Source organism: Homo sapiens, chromosome 15 (genome assembly GCF_000001405.40).
Source record: "Homo sapiens chromosome 15, GRCh38.p14 Primary Assembly".
NCBI lineage: Eukaryota > Metazoa > Chordata > Mammalia > Primates > Hominidae > Homo > Homo sapiens.
Window position 1 is genome coordinate 36563293 of NC_000015.10, and position 22954 is coordinate 36586246.

The 22954-nt window shown below is 39.9% G+C and overlaps 1 protein-coding gene and 1 pseudogene across 17 annotated transcripts in view, besides 1 other annotated feature; both read left to right on the top strand.

The window, feature by feature from the left end:
- On the top strand, window positions 8638-9017 carry COX6CP4 (cytochrome c oxidase subunit 6C pseudogene 4; annotated as a pseudogene).
- Window positions 16334-22954, top strand: part of CDIN1 (CDAN1 interacting nuclease 1) — a 230619-nt gene continuing 223998 nt past the window's right edge. For all 17 annotated transcript variants that reach the window (XR_007064491.1, XR_007064492.1, XM_047433174.1 and 14 more), the window contains exon 1: window positions 16334-16669. Coding sequence is in view for 12 of the 17 variants with exons in the window: in NM_001321761.2 (NP_001308690.1) it covers window positions 16569-16669 (101 nt within the window). In the remaining 5 variants the exon portion in view is untranslated. The remainder of the gene's footprint in view (window positions 16670-22954) is intronic.
- Window positions 16453-16572: an enhancer, noted in NCBI's record as "active region_9193". NCBI's record gives its function as "activates an Ori minimal core promoter by ATAC-STARR-seq in GM12878 lymphoblastoid cells {active_cell/tissue: GM12878}" and the evidence as "EXISTENCE:reporter gene assay evidence [ECO:0000049][PMID:35858748]".

The following is a 22954-nucleotide window of genomic DNA, read 5'->3' on the forward strand; positions in this document are numbered from 1 at the left end:
AAATTCATGTGTTGAAATCCTAACTCTCAATGTGATGGTATTAGGAGGTGGGTCCTTTCAGAAGTAATTAAGTTCTAAGGGTGAAGCCCTCATGAATGGGACTTGTGCCTTTCTGATATGGTTTGGATTTGTGTCCTCACCCAAATTTCATTTTGAATTGTAATCCTCAATGTTGGAAGAGGGGCCTGGTGGGAGGTGATTGGATCATAAGGACAGACTTTCTCCTTGCTGTTCTTCTGGTAGTAAGTTCTCACAAGATCTGGTTATTTAATAGTGTGTAGCACCTCCCCTTTCTCTTTCTTCCTCCTGTTCCAGGCATGTAAGACGTGCTTGCCTCCCCTTCACCTTCCACCATGATTGTAAGTTTCCTGAGGCCTCCTCAACCATGCTTCCTGTACACCCTGTGAATCTGTGAGCTAACTAAACCTCTTTTATCTATAAATTACCCAGTCTCAGGTATTTCTTTATAGCAGTGTGGGAACAGACTAATACACCTTGTAAGAAGAAACAGAAGAACTTGCTTACTCTATTTGCTCTCTGCCATGTCAGGGTACGATGAGAAGATGGTCATCTGCAAACCAAGAAGTGGGCCCACACCTCACTAGATCTACCAGTGCCTTGATTCTGGACTTCTCAGCCTCCAGTACTGTGAGAAATAAATGTTTGTTGTTTAGGCCTCCCAGTCTAAGGTAATTGGTTATAACAGCATTAGCTGACTAACACACCATCCATTTCCTCTTGTCCTGTACCTTTAATCTCACTTTCTCCATGACTTTTTTCTCTGTAGCCTTTAAACAAGCATATTTTCTCCTCATTTAAAAAAAAGTTTTCTACACTATTCTTCATCACAGTACCACCCTATCTTGTCCTTCTCCAAACTCCACACTTTTAAAGTCTATATTTATATCTACTTTTTAAAAATTCTCTTTCCTGCCACAGCACATTATACCATTATCCCAAACTCCTCTTGATAAAAGTCACCAATGACATCCTAATCACCAACACCAAAGATCTACTTCAATTTTTATTCTGGCAGATTTCCCACAGCATTTGAAACTGTTGACTCCTCCTGAAACCATTTTGATAAATGAATTAAAAACTAAAATAAAATGGCACTAACTAGGAGATAATAGAGAAAAGTTAACTAATGGTGGAGGTTTGGGCATAGAAAAGGGGACATTGTTAAAACTGGAACTTGGAAAATGAGTAGATGCTATCAGAAGGAACAAGGGCATCTCAACAGAGTTGACTCCTCCTGAAACCCTTTTCCTCCTTGGCTCTGTTTCCTTTATTTCCTCTCAAATTAATTTATCTGAAAATGTCTTGAGTGAGAAATTTAAATTTATTTTTGTTTTCCTGCATGGTCTCTTCTTACTCTACCTGCTTTTCTTGGGTGATTTTGTCTCCAAGAACTCCAGGTACCATCTATATGTGTCAATCATCAGGGTCCTGGCCGGAAACAGATGGCACTCTCAAATGGGGTAATTGAGAAGGTTTTAATAAAGCAACTGTTTACTATTTATAACGGAAACCAGAAAGGAATGTTCAGTACCCTAGGTCTTAACTGCCCCAAGGCCTAAGGGCATAAGGGAAGAAAGCCATTTTTGGAATCTAGAGAGTGGCTGCCTAATAAGGATCACTGGGAAAGAGCTGCACCCTTTGGAATAGGGATTCAACTAGACTGTGGGGACCTGAAAGAGAAGGAGTCATAAAATAAATATCTAAAACTTACTCTCTTTCGGCCCTTTGAACTTTTCCTGGTGCCTCCCATTGCCTAAACCCACTGGAAGCCAAAGTACAGTGATGAAACCAAAAATAGGTAACGATCCTAGGGTACAGAGAAGGTTGGAAAGTATGGAGAGGGACAAACGAAAAATATCTAGCACAGATGTTATATCTCTAGTTTTAACTGCTCTTCTGAGATCTTGACCAAAATTTCCATTTTCATCTCCAATCTACTTGCATTACACCTATGGGTCTTAAAATTAATTTGCCCACTTCTTCTGTTTTTCTTATGGAAACTTTTTCATTTAGTGATGCAAATATTTTCTCTCAATCCAAAGACCATGGAATGTCCTTGATTTTCCTTCTCCTATAGCTCTCCCATTGAGGTCTGGCAAGTATTTTTTCATAGAAACATTTTTTTGAATTCTGAGCTCTCCTTTTCAATTCCATTCCTCTAATCAATATCCTTATGTTCCCTTTTCTAGACTTCTGCAATGATTTCCCAACTCAATTCCCTGTAACTGTTCTTCTCACCACTCTTTTAATGCATGTACACTGCTATCAGTTATCTTCCTAAAACACAGATCTAATCGTGACATTCCTTTGTGTAAAATCTCTAATAGATCTCTGTTGCCTTGGCATAAAATCTTAACTTCACATATAACCTCTAAGGCGCCAACCTATGCCTTTAGCATCTTGCATTTTCCTATTCAACAATATGTCTTGAACACTAAGTGTGTGCCTGATAAGAGACTAAATGCTAAGAAAAACAAATAAGAGATCATGCACACACTCTAGCCACTAGACTGCAATGAGAGTGATAAATGAATTAAAAAATGAAAATCAAGTGCCAATAACTAGGAGCTAATAGAGAAAAGCTAACTAATGGTGAAGGTTTGGGCATAGAAAAGAGGACACTGTTAAGAGTGAAACTTGGGAAATGAGTAGATGTTATCAGAAGGAGCCAGAGCACCACAACGGAGGAATACATGTGTCCATGTATAATAGCATAAACTAAGGTGGATTCAGTGAACTGAAACAATGATCTCCTAGAATTGTGTATATAAAATTTGTGCTTTCCAAGTAATGTAAATTGTAGATCAATTGTTTTCAATTGAAGGGAAATTTGGGGGAGTAATAAAAGAATTCTATGCCATGATTGAACTGTATATGTTTGTCAAACTTTAACAAACTCTACCTTTAAAATGTGTACTTTTTAAATAGTATGTGTATTAATTACATCTCAGTTTTAAAAAGGATAATCTGGGAGTCAAAAAGATTTAGTCTTTCTCCATCCCTTATCAGTTACATGAAATTAAACAGGTTACTTATCTTCTTCAATTTTTCTGATCTGAAATTATAATACCTTCCTCATAGGACTACAGAAGACTTTTTTTGGTGCTTAGCATGTAATAGGTAATTAATGAATGAGGTCTGTCAACTGGTTCTTGAATGTATATAGGGTTTATCAGGATATACAGAAAGAATTCAAGTCTGAAAAGTATGTGAGGACCTCTCAAAACAACCTATGTTTGTATTTTTAGAAAAATCAACTTAGTTTCAGTGTGGAGGACTAGAGCACAGACAGGCTATAGCAGGAATCTCATTAGGAAACTAATAGAATAAAGGAAGGAAGGGACCAAATAGTGACAGAAGCATATTCCTTGGCGTGACAGAACATGGCAATTGGCTGTAGAGGCAAAGATGAGGGTAGTGCCACTTTCCAAGAAAGTAAGGAGACTTAGGTACATAAATAAGCTTCATTTTGAGAGTTATGTGAGATGCCTGTAGGATTCAGAGATAGATATGCCATAGTACGCAAGTGGATACATGGCTCTGGACCCCTAAGATCAGACAAGATTTGTTATTATAGGCCGGGCGCAGTGGCTCATGCCTGTAATCCCAGCACTTTGGGAGGCCGAGGCAGGCGGATCACGTGAGGTTGGGTGTTCGAGACCAGCCTGACTAACATGGAGAAACCCTGTCTCTACTAAAAATACAAAATTAGGCGGGCATGGTGGCACGTGCCTGTAATCCCAGCTACTTGGGAGGCTGAGACAGGAGAATTGCTTGAACCCGGGAGGCGGAGGTTGTGATGAGCCAAGATGGCGCCACTGCACTCCAGCCTGGGCAACAAGAGAGAAACTCCATCTCAAATAAAAAAGAGAGATTTGTTATTTTATATACGTGTGTGTGTGTGTGTGTGTGTGTATACATACATATATATATATATGTGTATATATATAATTTTTTTTTTTTTAGATGGAGTCTTGCTCCGTTGCCCAGGCTGGAGTGTATGGCATGATGTTGGCTCACTGCAACTTCCTCCTCCCTGGTTCACGTGATTCTCCTGCCTCAGCCTCCCGAGTTACTGGAATTAAGTCGCCCACCACTACGCCCGGCTAATTTTTGTATTTTAGTAGAGATGGGGTTTCATCATAATGGCCAGGCTGGTCTCAAACTCCTGACCTCAGGTGATCCACCTGCCTCAGCCTCCCAAAGTGCTGGGATTACAGGCATGAGCCATTGTGCCCAGCCAGATTTGTTATTATATGTTGAGCTAATAGCAAGATAGAAATAAGAGTTACTCTCTAAGAGAGAACCAAACTGAGATGAGTCATTTGTGGAAATGACGGTATCCAAGAGAGTACAGGTGAATGCAAGCCTGGAGAATTACAAGAATAGTTAAAATCTAATTCACGTCATCTGGGTGTACATTTAAGTCTCCTTGAGGAAGCAAATAGAGTTTTGACTGTAACAAAGGAAGTTTACATCTAGTTACTTTGCTGTCTTTAGAAACAAGGAAAGTCTGCATGATATGTAAGAAAGAAGCAGAGAGAAAAACAAAAGTCTCTTTTTTTTACAGTCTAATATGTATATCATTGTGAAAAAGATTTGATTCCATTGAATATTAAGATCATCCAACTAATTTTTCTACCGGAGTCCTTTTGACTTCAAATTCTAGTATCAAGCATTTCATTAGACTGCCTTCTTAGACGATATTTTTTTTATGTATTGCTGAGATGAAGCCTTGGGAAACACTCATATCTAATAAAGTGACTAGGTCTAACCTCTAGTTCTCTATGCATGCTTTTGAAGATAGGAGGACATATTAGTCTAGACTCTCTGGGAAGCAGAGGCCAAGAGAGGATTTGACATGCAAGAGATTTATTGGGGTAAAAACCTGCAAGAGAACTAGGGTAGATAGTGGGAGGAGGCTGGGAGAATTGTCTGACTCTTGTGAAGGAGAAAGGCAAGACAGACAGGCAGGTAGGCAGGTAGACAGGCAGGATGGAATGAACGAATTAGACTGTAGTGCAGTTCTAAGCAAGACAGGAATTTGAAGGAATTATTTGGTAGCATTTCCTGCTTCTAGCATATAGCTGAGATCTTTAGGGTGTTTATTAGCCCAGAGAAAGTGAATTACAAATACACAGTGACTGGCATAATTATATAATAATAATATATTTACTATAGATATAAAAGAAAATAGCTAGGTACTTTGATGAAACAGAAAGTGTCTATGGTTCATATTGGGGGGAGGTAGAAGAAGAGATTTTGAATGCCTTGCCTTATTTATGCCGTGGATCTCAATTAGACGACACAAGCCCATCTTTGAGGTCCTGAGAAAATTAGCATGTCAATCAAATGTCTACAAATCATATGACTGAGGGGAGTTTGCCACATGATTTAAGAACATTATGTTTTCACTCATTTTACAAAGTAAAGTAGGTTTAAAAAAAAAAGAGGTGGGACCTTTGGGAGGTGGTTAGGTCATGAGGGTGGAGGTCATGAATGGGATTAGCACTGTATAAAAGAGGCTTGAGGGAGCCCTTCTGTCTCTTCTACCATGTGAGGATGCAGTGAGAAGGCGCTGTGTACCTGAAGCACAGAGCCCTTCCTGGACACTGGATTTGCTGGCTCCTTGATCTTGGACTTTCCAGCCTCTAGAACTGCAAGAAATAATTTCTTGTTGTTTACAAAAAACCCAGGCTAAGGTGTTTCGTTATAGCCTGAATGGACTAAGCTGCTGTGACCCTGTTGGAAAACTGGTGGTATCTACCGAAAGCTGAATATACACATAAACTGTGATCCAGCAATTCCACTCCTCGGTGTGTACACCACAGAAACGAGAGCTACGTCCACCGAGACATGGGCAAGAACGTTGCTAGCCACTGACTGTAGCCTCAAACTCGAAACAACCCAAATGTCCATCCACCAACCCAAATGTCCATCCACAGTTGAAGTTGGGGTGAAGTCACAGGGTCAAATACTACTGTGCAGCAACAAATATGAATGAAAATACTGCTACGCACAGCAACATGGATAAGTTTCACAGATATGATGTGAAGCAAAAGAGGTCAGAATCCTCACCACCAAGAGAGGTCATACTCAGTGTATGATTCTATTCATACAAAAAGTACAGAAATAAGCAAAACTGATCCGTGGTGTTAGAAGTCAGGGAAACAGTTAACGGTGGGAAGGATACTGGGGAGGGGCATCCTGGGGTACTGGTCTACGTCTTCATCTGGGTGTTGATTTCACGAGTATGTTCAATTTGTGTTCAGCCCTCCTGTTGGAGATGTGGAAATAAAGACCACCTAAACAAGAAAAAAAAAATTTTTATTTGGAAATAATTTCAAACTTACCAAAATGTTACAAAAAATTGTATGCAACAAAGAGTGGAAAAATTTACCTGTTTTTGATATTTTACTACATTTGATTTATAATCTTTTTTTTTTTTTAATTTGTAGAGTTGGGGTCTCACTGCTATGTCACCCAGACACAGAAGCTTCGACCTGCTCCATTTCTGACCTAGGCCATTTCACCTGTCCTCACCTGGTGGTCCCCCATTCCAGGTTGGTCACCACACTGATGCCTAATTTAGGGAAGACACTCAATTGGCATAGTGCACGACAGCCCACAACTCCTGTGCTCAAGCAGCCGTCCCACCTAAGCCTCTTGAATAGCTGGGACTACAGGTGTGCACCAACATGCCCAGCTTTCTCACTGATCTTGATTCTTTTTTTTTTTTTTAAACCATTTAGGATAACTTATTTATTTATTTATTTATTTATTATTATTTTTTGAGACGGAGGAGTCTCGCTCTGTCGCCCAGGCTGGAGTGCAGTGGCGCGATCTCGGCTCACTGCAAGCTCCGCCTCCCGGGTTCACGCCATTCTCCTGCCTCAGCCTCCGGAGTAGCTGCGACTACAGGCGCCGGCCACCAAGACAGGCCAATTTATTTTTGTTTTTTTAGTAGAGACGGGGTTTCACCATGTTAGCCAGGATGGTCTTGATCTCCTGACCTCGTGATCTGCCCGCCTCGGCCTCCCAAAGTGCTGGGATTACAGGCATGAGCCACCGCGCCTGGCCTAGGATAACTTATAAATACATCATGGATCTTTACCTCTAACACTTCTGTGTGTATTTCCTAATAATGGGGGAGATTATTTACATCATAAATATTTTACACAATATTTTATAATCCAATCTATCATTTGCATTCCAATTTTGACAGTTCATCCAATGATATCCTTTATAGCACTTTTTCCTCTTCAGTACAGAATCCAGTCTAGGACCAGGTATTATATATTTCATTGTCATGGCTCTTTAACTTGCTTTAAACTGGAATATGAAATAATCATTTGATAAAGTAAATCTAATTTATTGAAGGATATAAACTTTGAGGTCAGAGACTTTGACAGTTCCATATATTGCTTATGCACACGGCCTGGAACAGTGCCTGGTACATGGTAGCTCTCACTAAATATCTGATGAATAAGTGAGTTTTTGTGAATGTGAATGTCCATATTTTCTTTTTTCTTTCTTTCTTTCTTTTTTTTTTTTTGAGATGTAGTCTCGCTGTGTCGCTCAGGCTGGAGTGCAGTGGCATGATCTCGGCTCACTGCAAGCTCTGCCTTCCAGGTTCAAGCTATTCTTCTGCCTCAGCCTCCCGAGTAGCTGGGACTATAGGCGTGTGCCACTATGCCCAGCTAATTTTTGTATTTTTAGTAGAGACGGGCTTTCACCATATTGAACAGGCTGGTCTCAAACTCCTGACCTCATGATCCGCCCGCCTTGGCCTCCCAAAGTGCTGGGATTACATGCGTGAGCCACCACGCCCGGCAAGTGAATGTCCATATTTTCTTAAGAGGAGTTGGTATAAGTGAGTTACATTGGTCTTTGCCTCTTAAGTAGAATTTATATTATGTTTAAAAATTCCTATCTATACAAATAATTCAACATGTTGTTTTTTATAAGTAGATTTGTGTGCATAGAGCTTAAGTGTTCCTTAAGGCCCCCTCCCCGTGCTCCCTGCCCACAGCATTATCTTAAATCCCTTTCATCCCTGTACCAATTTAAACCTTTTACTGTTGTTTGAAAGTGAAATGGAAACCCAAGCTCTTCTGGCACGAAGATTGGCATCCAGTGTGACTGTCCTCTGGGCAATGCAAAACATTTGCTCCCTGCATCAAGGGCTGTAATGAATCTGAATGTTCAGATACAACTAGTAGTCATGCTGAAAAAAAATGCATGCTGGATCCTCTGTCAACATGATGACTGACAGAATGTACATGTGGTAGGAGGCTCACTGATATGATTTCAATCATAGCTCTGCAAATGGAATGCCCAGAAAAGTTGTCCATCAGTCACAGAAATCTCCACCTTGCTCCAGAGGGCCCATTACATCATTTCTACATTGTCTGAATTGCAGTTTGTTGATGGAACTGAAGAATGGCCTAGCCTCTTGCTAGCCACACCAAGGATCTCATCTCAAGGACTAGCTTGTGAGAGTCCATCTGCTGTACACAACCTACTACTCTATTCTTAATATGAAATTAGGGTCAAAATTACCAAGTGTTCTTAAGAGTGCCTTGCTCATAGTGCAGGTCACCCATTTCTCCATCCGCCAGGAAGGACACTGGTGTTGAGGCTGACACACCTATCAAGGAAAATAAGTTCCATGTCTCCTAGTGTTTTGACGAAACCTCAGGTGTATGGCCTTCTAGCCAAGTACCTGTGGTTTCACATTGTTGGAGCATTTGTGGTATTCTGGCTGGTGGCAGCTCTCTATCAAATTGCTGTGGCTGAACCAAGAAAGAAGGCATACACAGATTTCTACAGAAATTACGATTCCATGAAAGATTTTGAGGACATGAGGAAGACTGGTACTTTTCAGAGTGCAAAGTGATTTTGGAATATAAAGAATTTTGGGGGGTTGAATTACATAGAAGTTCATTACTGACCTGTGTTCCTGAACTATGAAACATGAATATGTGGGCTAAGAAATCATTTATTTAGGTAAATAATTAATGAATTAAAAAAGAATACCTTGCTCATGGTGTAATAGAAATAGAAAAGAGCTGGACTCAAGGTGTATATATAGTTTGATTTTATCTATGTATAGAAAAAAATTTTGCAGAAAAGGGTTGGAAGGAATAATGTCAATGTGGTTACTATGGTGGCTTCCAAGTGATGAGATAATGCATGATTTACAGTATCTGATCTTTTGTTGTTGGCTACGAAAAACATTTTTCTTTCATGATCATAAAAAAGAAATTAAGTTAAAAAAAGAGAGGTGTATTTTTATAGCCTCACATTTAAAAATGAAATCTAAAGAAACTGATTAAAATTCCAAGCCATTTTGTACCTCAGTTTCCCCATATGCCAAGGTGGTATGATAATGGCAGTTATAGATTACATGATGGCACTACATTAGATAACTGTAAAACATAACTATATTTTCTCAAAAGAAAGGAACCTATTATTATTATTATATCTATATTTATTTCAGAAGGAATTCTTTCCCTTAACTCTCTATCAATTATGGAGAGGGAAAGGGTTATAAATACTGACTGGCCTCTTGCCCAATCTTTTGAAAGTCTAACCCAGTGGGAAGGCAAAATAGAGTTATTTATTTATTTATTTTTTTGAGACAGGGTCTCACTCTGTCGCCCAGACTGGAGTACAGTGGCGTGATCTCAACTCACCGCAACCTCCGCCTCCCAGGCTCAAGCGATTCTCCTGCCTGAGCCTCCTGAGTAGCTGGGATTACAGGAGCGTGCCACCACACCTGGCTAATTTTTGTATTTTTAGTAGAGATGGGGTTTCACCATGTTGGCCAGGCTGGTCTCAAACTCCTGACCTCAAATGATCCACCCGCCTCAGCCTCCCAAAGTGCTGGGATTACAGGTATGAGCCACTGTGCCCGGCCAAAATAGAGTAATTTTTTAAGTGAAGGGATTTATATCTAATCTTCATCTGACATATGCTTCCAACTCTAGCTTATGTTGAAAGAAGTGCTTATTAAGGACAGACTTGATTCCTTGACTCTCATTCCTCTCCCCTCACCCCAAAAGAAACCCTCTACTCCACCCAGGCTGGAGTTCTTTCAACATAGCTTCTTTCAATTTCTGAATTTACAAATGTGAGAAAACCCTCAGAACATAGTATGCATATTTTTGCAGAATGGTCTTTGGGATAAGAGTGATTGACATCTGCAGAAATTACATCTGAAGTTTAGTCCTGTAGGAATAGGGTATACAAATTGTCTGCAATTTATCCACCAGTCCCTGATGAGCCTGAGAGAAAATGTAAGAGACTTCAGTTTTTCTTCAACAAACATGCTCACACATCTCCCTTTGCTATAACACACAAACACTCAAGAGAAATTGTCCCTATAAAAAAAACTACTTTTTGTTCCTTAACTTTGTCAAATGTAGTGATAGTGAAAGTGCACATGCCAATTAATAGCCTTTATCATGTGCCAATTGTGTCCTGAGTGTGATTCAGAACAGAAGAGGTATATGAGCTCTGATTGATGGGTTTATAATCTAAAGAATAAATTGGGGGCCTTGCGCAGTGGCTCAAGCCTGTAATCTCAGCACTTTGGAAGGCCGATGTGGGCGGATCACTTGAGGTAAGGAGTTTGAGACCAACCTGGCCAATATGGTCCCGTCTCTACTAAAAATACAAAAATTAGCTGGGTGTGGTGGGTGCCTGTAATCCCAGCTACTCGGAAGGCTGAGGCAGGAAAATCGCTTGAACCCGGGAGATGGAGGTTGCAGTGAGTTGAGATCACGCCACTGCACTCCAGCCTGGGTGATAGAGTGAGACTGTCTCAAAAAAAAAGAAAAAAAAGAAAAAAATGGGTTTTTTTGCTATAAGGTGCATAATTAAATAGCATGTAAGGATTTGCATTGTTAACCTTAGTAAACACGCATAACTTGAGAAGAACTAAATACAGTAGAATAATGGTAATAATAATGATGGTTGATGCTTACAGGTCTTACACTCCTCTTTCAAGAGTACATGAAGAATGTGATGTTCTAGACTTTGGAATCAGCCCTTGGCCTTTGCACATACCTGGCTTACGATATTGACTTTGTAAGACACAGTGCTACTCAAAATGCGGTGAGCAAACTAGCACTGGTCCTCAAACTTTTTGTTATATGTCATGATGTAGTAAGTAGAGAAAGTGAAAATAAGCCTTTAGAATCTTTTATGTTAATCTGTCAAGTAATTGCATGTCTATTGGATCTCCTAACAAACTGGGGGCTTACATTTTATGTGTGTCTTTTTAAATTTCATTTTTTGACTAATTCATTTCTTATTTTACAAATTTGTCCATCCATGACAAATTGGGGAAAAACTAGGAACTCAAAACAGATAGTTTGATAAACACCATTCTAGAATGTTGTAAAATAAATGATGAGTTAAATAGAAGCCACTTCTACACTGTAGTATTCTTACCTGGAAAGTGGATGTAACAATAGTACTTCCCTCCTGGGGCTGGATCTGAGACTTAAGGGAAGATATATGTATGTAAGGTACTTAGCACTATTCCTGCTTTTGGTAAATGCCCTCCAAAACATTAGCTCTTAGTAATATTGAATAACAAAGGCTTGAGGAGGTGCCATTATGTGCACATGGGACATCGTTTGTTTGCAATGACTTTTCAATGAAATCCTCCATCTACACGTGATCTTCTGGAATCAGACCAACTGATTTCACAGATCAAGAGTTCATTTACCATTGACTTCCATGAAGGGACCAACATTTGGCTTTTGGTCTTCCCTGACCTTTTAGCATAACTACTTCATCATTATGGTGTAAAACATCCTTCCATCGCAGGATTCCTTTGTTTTCCTTAAGTCATTAAACTGAGTAATTGCTGCAGGCCTAAACAATTGAATTATTCTGATCTTTATTGTTTGCTAGGAGCTTGTATTATTTGGGGGCCAACATAAAAATGACTTGTCACTCAAGGATGGCAAGTATAGAGACATAAACTTTGGTTTCAAGAGATATATTACTTAAGGTGGTGGCCCATTGTACAAAGTAAAAAATATAACATCTTTTCTAGTCAAAGTGGCCAAAGAATATTTTTCAAAGTGTGTTTTGGCTACATGTCAAAATTGAAGGTCATTGTCCCTTTAACAGTCATCTGGTGGCCAAAGAAAGCAGCCAGCTATTTCAGGCCGTTTCACAGAATAAATGCGTAACTGAGGATAATTCAACCAAAAAGTTTTCTAAATCATTTTTGAATTACAATACAATACACACAATACAATACAGTGCAATAGAGAACATGAGGCTTTATACTCAGAGTAACTTGGGTTCAAATCACAGTTTTGCAACTTAGTAGTTGGACACATCATGTAAGTTCTTACTCTCTTTGAGTCTCAGTTTCCTAATCTGTAAATCAGGGACTATAAACTCTATAGCATAGGGTCACTGTGAAGATTAAGTGAGATAAGGTATAATAGGATAATGACTATGCATAATAGGAGCTCAAATAATATTAGCTCCCTTCTTTTTCTCTATCCAGTTAATAAACTTCAATTATTTTTTTTAAATCCATGTGATAACTTTGAGACTCCATCAAAATAATCAGATTTTACAATATATAAAAACAATATGTCAGTATTTATTTTTTAAAACATGCATTGGCTCTGGCAGACTCAGTGAACAACAGTCTGTTTGAAAACATGACTGACTCTTTCCAAGGTCAAACATCCTCAACTCCTTTTACTCTGCCCAGAACTCTTTGCTCCAACCAGAATAACTTTCCCATGCATGTGACTGGCTCATTCCTACTTTTAGTCTTTTGTGTTAGTGCCCTTCGTGAAATGACCTTTAGATGCCTCCCTGCCAAACTCCATACTCCTTTAAAGTTGTTCAACAGTCATGTCATCCAAAAATTGGCAGAAAGAAATCTAGTTAAGTGATTCACTCCGGTCCATCCAGGACTATAGGTTCTTCCAGGGAGCTGTACTGGTCCCCAGTTTGACACATTTTTTTGCTGATTTCCTCTACCTTTTCCATAGTTTTAGATTCTTTCTCCCATTGAGGACATTCAGAATTAGAGAGGCTATCAGTTGCTAAAGGCCACACATTTTATGGCTGATTTTAAACAGGCAGCCTGTTCTTTGGGTTTTTAGTTTGGTGTTTTCATTTCGTGATTCTACTCCATTTAGTGGGGAAATGGTATTGCTGGCTGACTAAGAAACAGTGTGGAACTTCAGGAATGGAGAGGCAGCTCTAGAAGAAGTAACAGCAATAGATGAGGGGCATGGGATATGACGAGAGATGGGAGCAAGCTGGAGGAGGCTAAGGGAGGGAGAAAAGATGCCTCAGAGGAATAATCAGCTTATTCTAGCCATTTCACATTACAAGAAAAAAAAACCTAAACAACAACAACTAGAAATTTTTGCTTTGCTTCTATTTTGTGCCTAATAAACAACACCACTGTCACTGCCAATGAAAACAGCAACATAACTGTGGTTTTTTCCCAGCACTAATTCTAAACCATCTACTGGATTTGGGTCAAAATTATAAACTGCCAACATGTTAAAAATAAAAACAGAAAAACAAACCTGGCATTTTTCTGAAGGGTTGTGATGGTGAATGCAGGACAAGAGCCAGAGAGAAGAGCTGCTATAAAAATAACTGGTGTAACACACCAGGGCCTACTGGGGGGTTGGGGGTGAGGGGAGGGAACTTAGAGGACGAGTCAATAGGTGCAGCATACCACCATGGCACATGCATACCTATGTAACAAACCTGCACGTTCTGTATATGTATCCCGTTTTGTTTTTGTTTTTGTTTTAGAAGAAAAAAAAAAAACTGGTGCAAACATCCTTGAACTGCTGTTTTCTATAAAAATCTGATGGCTGTGAAGGAAAGAGTAAAGTTGGGAAGGGGAAAGGAATGAGGATCAAGTGGTGTCTGCTTATCGTCAGCTAGCTTTCATGTAAAAGTCATGGCAGGGTCAGCAACAAACTAGCCAGGTGGCAACTCCAGGCCACGCTGCCATAAATAAATAGTTATGTACTAATGTCACACAATCAGAGCTAGATGCAAAGCATATGGGAAGAAAACATTCTGATGTCAATATTCAGGAAAAACTATGGTTGTTAAATTCAGGATCCACTGTTGGTATTGGATTTTGAGATGCCTCAGAAAATTAAAAGTAGTGAAGTTTTTAAAAACCAAGGCTAAAAGATTCTTTGAAATGTACAATATTCCCTTTAAAAAAAAATCCTTAACCTTTGGCTTAAGACAGTGTGACTATTTGATGTAGTAATTAAGCATTACTGAAAGTTGGCAAGAGCACTGACTCTGGAACCAAATTTCAGGAGTTTAAATCTTACTACTGCTACTTATCCTCATGACCTCTAGAAGTTCCTTAACCTTTTCATGTCTTAGTTTTTTCACTCTGTACAAAAGGGAAGAGGAGGATAACAGCAATAGTACCTGCCTGGCAGGAAGTTATGAGGATTAAGCGAGTCTGTGCATGGGGAGCCTGTAAAACAATACCTAGTAAACGCCCTGTCCATTTTTATCAAGTAGTCTTACTTAGCCTATTTATTTATGGCCAAAACCGCAGTTGCTCTTGCACCAACCTAATATTTCACATAGACTATCCTCTAGACACCACGCTATATAATCTTTTATTTGTACCAGCCTGTTAATCTTAAAAACAGCCCATGCCCGGGCGAAGTGGCTAATGCCTGTAATCCCAGTACTTTGGGAGGTAGAGGCTGGAGCATCACTTCCGGTCAGGAGTTTGAGACTAGCCTGGTCAATAAAGCGAGACTTCATCTCTAGAGAAAAATTTTAAAATTAGCCAGGTGTAGTGGCATGTGCCTGTAGTCCCAACTACTCGGGAGGCTGAGGTGGGAAGATCGCTGGAGCCCAGGAGTTCGAGGGTGCAGTGAGCCACGATGGAGCCACTGCACTCCAGCCTGGGCGACAGAGTAAGACTCCATCTCTACATCAAACATACACAAATAAAACACCTCCATGAATTAAATCAGTTTTACAGACAAAAGAAATGAGGCTTCGATGGATTAAGGAATTTATTCAAGGAGGTATATCTAAAACTTCCAACCCAGGCATTATTCCAGATGAAAAATTTTAAACCACTTACAGGTTCTCTAAAGTCTAAGCACCTTTGCTTTAGTTTGCTTAAATTGTTGAAATCAGAAGAGAAACACAACACATGACCTTCTAAGAACCAAACAGATTTTAGAAAAGAGATTAAATGAGGGACTGATATCCCAACAAATTGCTTTAGGAGAACTGAGATCCATTCACAATACATATAGAAAATAAAAAAAGATTGGCTCATTACTCCAAACATTTATTGAGCGCCTACTATTTTCTGAGAACTGGGGTTACAATAAGATGCGATTTTAGACCTTGAGCAGCTAACTGCAAGGAGTGAAAGTGACTTTTTTTTTTTTTTTTGAGACGGAGTCTCGCTGTCGCCCAGGCTGGAGTGCAGTGGCGCGATCTTGGCTCACTGCAAGCTCTGCCTCTCGGGTTCACGCCATTCTCCTGCCTCAGCCTCCTGAGTAGCTGGGACTACAGGCGCCCGCCACCACGCCCGGCTAATTTTTTGTATTTTTAGTAGAGACGGGGTTTCACCGTGTTAGCCAGGATGGTCTCGATCTCCTGACCTCGTGATCCGCCCGCCTCGGCCTCCGAAAGTGCTGGGATTACAGGCGTCAGCCACCGCGCCCGGCCAAAAGTGACATTCTTTACTGCCGGCTGTTTGATGACGTCGGATTTGTTTCAAGTCTGTTTCTCAACAAGGACAAAACTGCCTTCCACGCGATGTACAGAAGTTGTAGGGCTTCCTCAACACAAGCCAAATTATGTTTACAGCGACCCTAGTGAGTTTTCCTGCTCGGACCATGACAGACTTGGTAGAGTGAAGACATGGTTTCTCGGCAGGCCAGTCCACGCTCCGAGGAGCGCTCAAACTGGCGCGTTAGGAAGTGTATTCAAATCGCGCGCTCTGGCAGGGGCTTTCGGGGGCTCACGCTGAAGGATCGCGGGGCACTCGTGAGACCTGCCGCCTGGTCTGTGCGTCAGGCCGCCCTGGCTTCTAGTAATTGGGAGAGTACAAAGCATCCCTTGTTGACCCTTTGATCCTAGGTGGGCGATGCCCTGGATTCCTACCTGCCTACTGAAACTCTGGCGCGGCGCCTTTCCAAGGGCGGCCGCTACTTCCTGGTTGGTTTGCCCTTAACTGACATGGCGGCTAGTTGCCTTCGGCGCACCACTGCGGCTGCTCAGTAAGCCAAGCTAGGGCACTCTGGTGTACAGCCAGTCCCCGCCGCGGAGGTGCCGGTGGAGCCTGGGACCGGGCGAGTCTCCGCCCCGCTTTTGCAGCTAGGGGTGTGTTTCAGGGGGGATTGGGGCAAGCCAAGCAGGCGAGGACCCGGGCCTGTGCCGCTTTGCCTACCCCTCATCCCTCGGCACCAAGGCTACTTGAGCCCCAGGGTGTTTTTTCCTTGTTCCCGCCACCTCCTGGTCCCTGGCCCAACATGATACTGACCAAAGCTCAGTACGACGAGATAGCCCAGTGCCTAGTGTCTGTGCCGCCTACCAGGCAGAGCCTGAGGAAGCTGAAGCAGAGGTTTCCCAGGTAAGTGTCCATCTCTCCCCTCTCACAGCCCTTTGCCTGCAGCAGCAGTGCCTGGGCCGCCCAGGCAGCGCTTAGGAACCACGTGTCACACATGAGTGGGGAGGAACACCAGTGTCAGGCGTTAGGAGGTCGAGGTTGGCGAAAAAAGGTTTATTCTTTCACTCGCCTTCCACACAAAACTCTTAACGGTGAGTTCATGGCAGCCTTCCAAGGCCTTGCAATTAAATTCAAGTCAACAGATATTTATGGAAAACGTGGTACGTGCTAGGTGATGGGTGAACATAGTAGGTGCTTCATAAATGACCAGAGGTTAATTGACAGATAGTAGGAATGAATGATGGGTGGGAATATGAATTGTAGATTCGAAAGGAGCAAATGGAGGACCCTTTTCAATTGGCCGTTGGAAACAAACAAGGGAGCATAGAGGTAAAGCGGCTTCATACTGTTTGACTGTGGCTTGTACTGTTAACTGTGGAATTAAGTGACCTCAAGGGTTCTCAATCCAATCAGAGAGCAGGGTACCCAGGGATTCCACTCTTGGGTCATTGGCCATTTGAACAACCAGATCTAAAGTTTCTCCATATATGTTATGCATACACACATTCCGGGTGTATTTCATACTTCCTCCCCCAAACACTTCTTTTTTCAGCGATTTTAGAATTATCCAACTTTCTAAGAAAGGACTTTGGGAATTATGTAGATTTCTCATTTTAATGAAGTGGAAACTGAGACCCCAACATTACATGAGGAACCAGTTGAGGACAACCAGGTCACTGTATTTATGTTGTGTTAAAAGCAGAGAATGTTTGTTTACTTTTTTCCTAATGAAAAACCAAATCCAAACCTGTACCATTTTGTTTTGTGGCACTGAGCATGGTTATTCCTAATGGAGAGCTTCCCCATCCTTGACGTATTCAGTCCCTGAACAAACACGACAGAAGTAATTTCTTGAGAAAAGAAAGGTAATTGGATAATAGGTATCAAAGTACAAATTGAAGCATAAGTTTAAGTTCTGTTATGACTTTGCTTTTTGAAGGACTTGGTTTTCCTAGTCTGTAAAATGAAGGAGTCTCTTTTCAATATTATCCAGATTTGATTTAGGGCAATATTTATCCCTTTATAGCCTTTAGTATTTTATCAGACTTGCTAAGAAGGAACAAAATTGACACATAATTTAATTTTCTGTCATTAACTCTTGCCAGTTCTGCACATGAACAGTGAAATGGGTGAAGACTGGTCAGCCAAGGGAATAGGTAGATTTTTCTGGGCAGTTTTAAGAAAGAGCATACATTTTGATATTCTCCTCTCACTATGTATGCAATCACTTGTAATTTTGCTTTTTTTTCTCTTCCTCTCCCTCTTTTTCTCTTTTTCGTTCTTTTCTCTAGCAAATACCTTGTCTTCTCTATAATAAGTAAGTGTCTGTTACTTTAATCAACACTTACAAAAGCCTCCCTTCTGTCTGGTGTATTCTCTTATGCTCTTTTCTTTCTTATTCATGATATACTCAAATCTTTTTCACTTCTCCCAAATGCCATACAGGGAATAAATAACAACTCTCCTTCCACAGGAAACTTTATTTAGAGAGAGCTGAACTACTAATCCGCAAAAGAAGGGATTAAAGAGCTATTTAGGGCTGGGTGTGGTGGCTCACGCCTGTAATCCCAGCGCTTTGGGAGGCCGAGATGGGAGGATCACTTGAGGCCAGGAGTTCCAGATCAGACTGGGCAACGTAGCAAAACCCCGTCTCTAATAAAAATCCAAAAAATTAGCTGGGTGTGGTGGCATGTGCCTTTAGACCCAGCTACTCAGCTACTCCTGAGGCTGAGGTGGGTGAATCACCACATCAAGGTGATTGTTACCTTGTTGCATTACAATCCATTGGCCTATTTTGAACTTGAATGGATCTTTTACCCATGCCTGATTTGTTATCATCGTGCATTATTCCTTTGTAAAATGTTGCTTGTGAGTTGTGCAGATCTTACAAATGTCACCTTTCATTATACAATATCAAAAAATTACATTTGTTAATATCATCTCTAATCTCATCAGAAGTCTGTAAGATTTGAAGCTGTCAAGCTTGTGGTGATGGATATGAGCATTCCAGTATTTGAATTTTCCCTTGAAAGCTCAAATTTTATCATTGGCAACAAATGCTATTAGTTGTTTTCCTTGAAATGACAGGCTCACATTGTTTATTTTTGAGAAAGTGTCTGCCAGATACTTAAATCTGAATAATATACTTTGTTATCATTAATTCAAGTAAAAATGGTGTTCCCTAGAAAAAGTAGCTAGTTCAGCTCTCAAACAGTCATACAAGTGCTTTCCTGGGAGGCAACCATCATACTTTGATATGAAGTATATGTGCTTTGTATTTACTCTAGTCATACAGAATGTTAAAAGGTTGTGTATTCAAGGGTTGAGATTTAATGCAATTAATAAGAGAATATTCTTTAGTGAAAGTCTTGTTTTGTTTTGTTTTTCCTGCACGTGTGTGGCAGTGAATACAGTGACTACTAGTACAGTTATGATGCCTATGATTTGTGCCTTGTTTTATGCTCAGGAGCTGGCAGTTTTACTCACCATTGTTTTTGTACCATAAGTCCAAATGTGAATACAGCGCAAAAGGAAAATACTATCTTGCTATTTTTATAAAAATAGTCGTGTTGACCCTGTAGACCTGTGAGAGGGTCTCAGGGACTCCAAGTCCACAGCCACACTTAGACAATCACTAGCTAATTCAAATCAAAGCATAATTATGTTTTCAAGGATTTTGATGTATACTGACAAATTTAAAAAAATTGTACTAGTCCTTTTACTAGCAGAGCGTGAGAGTCTCTGTCTCTGCAACTTTTCCAGTATTGAGAAGAGTCATTATTTAATCTTTAATATGTTCGATCAAGAATGACATCTTGTAGTTAGCATTTTAAAAATTATTATAGGTTGTACCTTTTTCCAAATTTTTTTGACCACTTAATTTTCCTTTGAATTACCTGTTTGGTATCCTTTGCCTAATTTTCTGTTGGCATGTCTGTTGTTATTGTTTATTGATTTATTACTTATTGATCTGCATATGTTCAGGATGCTGGTCCTATATATGTCATATTTGTTGCATAAATTTTCTCAGTTGTTTGATTTTAAATATTGTTCTGCTTTTGATATGGTTAACTTTTAAATGTATGCTTTTTTTTTCTGACATTTTTGCCTTTATACTTAGGAAGTTCTTTTCTGTCCTAATATATGAAAGAAAAAAATATTTCACCTAAATTTTCTTTTAGATTCTTTATGGCTTTGTTTTTTATTCTTAATTTTTAAATCTTTCTGGCTGAAATTTATTTTAGTAAATGCTGAGAGGTGAAGATGTAGCTTAATTTTTTCTCCAGCTTAATTTTTCCTCTTACTGTGACTTCTGGGGTAGCCTCACTTCTTCATGGCTTGTTTTGACTGAAGTTACAAAATTATGTTTTTTCAAGTCACTGTGTTTTACGTGGTCTCAGAATCCTTCACTTTAAAATGAAGGAGTAGGACTTTGTGATCTGTAATATCTTACAACTCCAAAATTCACCCTCATTCTATTTTCGTTTCTACAGTTTTACCATACAGTAAGTCATCATTTAATGTCTTCGGTAGGGCTTTGGAGACTGCAACTTTAAGTGAAACAATGTATAATGAGAGCAATTTTACCATATGCTAATTGTTATAAACAAGAATTAAGTTCCTATAGCATATTTCTGGTCATAATAACATCACCAAACTTCTAAATAAAGACCCAAGGCTGGGCACTGTGGCTCAAGCCTGTAATCCCGGCACTTTGGGAGGCTGAGGCGGGCAGATCACGAGGTCAGGAGATCGAGACCATCCTGGCTAACACAGTGAAACCCCGTCTCTACTAAAAATACAGAAAATTAGCTGGGCACGGTGGCGGGCGCCTGTAGTCCCAGCTACTCAGGAGACTGAGGCAGGAGAATGGCATGAACCTGGGAGGCAGAGCTTGCAGTGAGCTGAGATGGCGCCACTGCACTCCAGCCTGGGTGACAGAGCAACACTCCGTCTCAAAAAAACCATAAAAAATAAAATAAAGACCCAAAACACATCTAATATTAAACATTGAAATTAATGTGAGCCTAAACAAGTAAGATAATTATTTACCCAATTTTTGGTGAATCAGTGAGTGATGGTGGTCATAGTGGTGGTGGATTAAATCTAAGAGTATGTGTTTGCAAAGTGAAATTTGTGAGAAGCACCTCTTACCACCATGTATTCAAAAGCAAACAATAGCCTGTTCAACAGAGCGAGACCCTGTCTCTTCAAAAAAATTTAAAAATTAGCCAGGTGTGGTGGTACATGCTTGTAGTTCCAGCAACTCAGGATGCTAAGGTGAGAAGATTGCTTAAGCCTGGGAGTTTGAGGCTGCAGTGAGTTAGGAACGTGCCACTGCAGTCCAGCCTGAGCCACAACAGTTAGACTCTGTCTCTAAAAACAAAAAACAAAAAGCAAACAATAACAAATGTGGTGAGCTTGCTGAGCACTTGTGTACTGCATCTTTATTGTCATGCGTTTGTATGATTATCATAGATTTATGAATTTTTATTTTACAGTAATTTGTATTCATTCATTTATTCACTTATTCATTCATTTATTTACCAACCCGCTTATTCCAGTTTAGGATTCTGAGTGGCCTCTGGCAGCTCAGGCTGCAAGGTATGAAGCCATCCCAGCACGGGACACGCTCACACACACTCCCATACTCACTCACACTGGGGCTATTTAGACATGCCAGTTCTGCAGACACGTACATCATTGAGATGTGGAAGGAAACCAGAGTACTGGGAGAAAGTTCACGCAGACGTCAGGAGAACATGCAAACTCCACACAGACAGTGGCCCCAGCCAGGAAACAATTTTTAAAAATACTCATCAACTTTATAACAAAATAATGTTGAACAAAATAACGTTATTTGAAGACTTTCTGTAATGGGCCCTTTGGCACCTGAAACATAGGACATACTACATTTGAAGTACTTGCTGAGGACATATTTATTGATTGACATTTTTTAATCTTTCTTGTGGACATTCTTAGAAGCCCCTGGTCCAATCAGCTGTTACTTATAAGGTTATATTTTACATTATAATTTCCTGCCCAAACACTACATATATATTTGATTATTTGTTACTTTTGGGAGAGTTTTTGGGATAATTTTAAGCTTGCAGAAAAGTTGCAGAAATATTACAGAGAATTCTCATATACCCTTCACCCAGCTTCTCTTAATGTTAACATTACCATGGTACGATTGTCAAAATCAGTAAGTTAATTTTAATGCAATATCATTAATCTACAGACACATTTTTTGAACTTTGCTAGTTTTTTCACTGATGTCCCTTTTCTAGGATCACACGTTGGATTTAATTGTAATGTCTTAAGTCATTTCCAATCTGTGACAGTTTCTTACTATTTCTTTGTCTTTTATGATTTTGACACTTTTGAAGAGTACTGGTCAATTTTATAGAATGTCCTTTCCTTTGTGTTTGATGTTTATTTTCTCATGGTTAGATTGAGGGTAAACACTTTTGGCAAGAGTACCCTGGAAGTGATGGTGTGGCCTACTTAGTGCATTACATCAGGGTCTGTGACTTCATATGTCTTATTATTGGAGACGTTAACCTTATTCACTTGATTAAGGTGGTGTCTGCCTTGGTTTGTGCTCAGGAGCTGGTAGTTCTAATGTTACTTTTATTATTATTATTATTTTTAAATTCTGAAGCTCTTTAATAGCTTTATAATCAACAAATAAAACTAAAGGTGTTTTATAATAGGAAAATAATTTTGTGATATATGACAATGGCATTGCTTCATAAGGACAAGAAGAAAAATTGGAAGTGTACAGTAGAACTAGTATGTTTTACTATAGAGTCTTACATATGTATTACTTGAGAGTGGAAATATAACCATAACTTGCTAACCTGTACTGTGACTCACAAAACAGGCTCTACCTGACCAAACTACAATTACTGACTAAACCTGAACTCTTTTATCATGAGCTCATTCAGCCTTATGTGCTCAACCCATACTCATAAACTCTGTTCCAGAAACTGCCTAGTTGACAAAGTCTGACCAACATCTAGCAGGACCACCTCATGACTAGTTCCGGCTCCTAGAACCTTCGAGTACCTCTTCCCTAATTCTTCATTTTGAGACACTCCACAGTTTGCTTGGTGTGGGTTTACCTTTGAGTTTTTTTTTTTTTTTTAACTATTACAACTGCACTATAAAGTTACTATTGTTCCT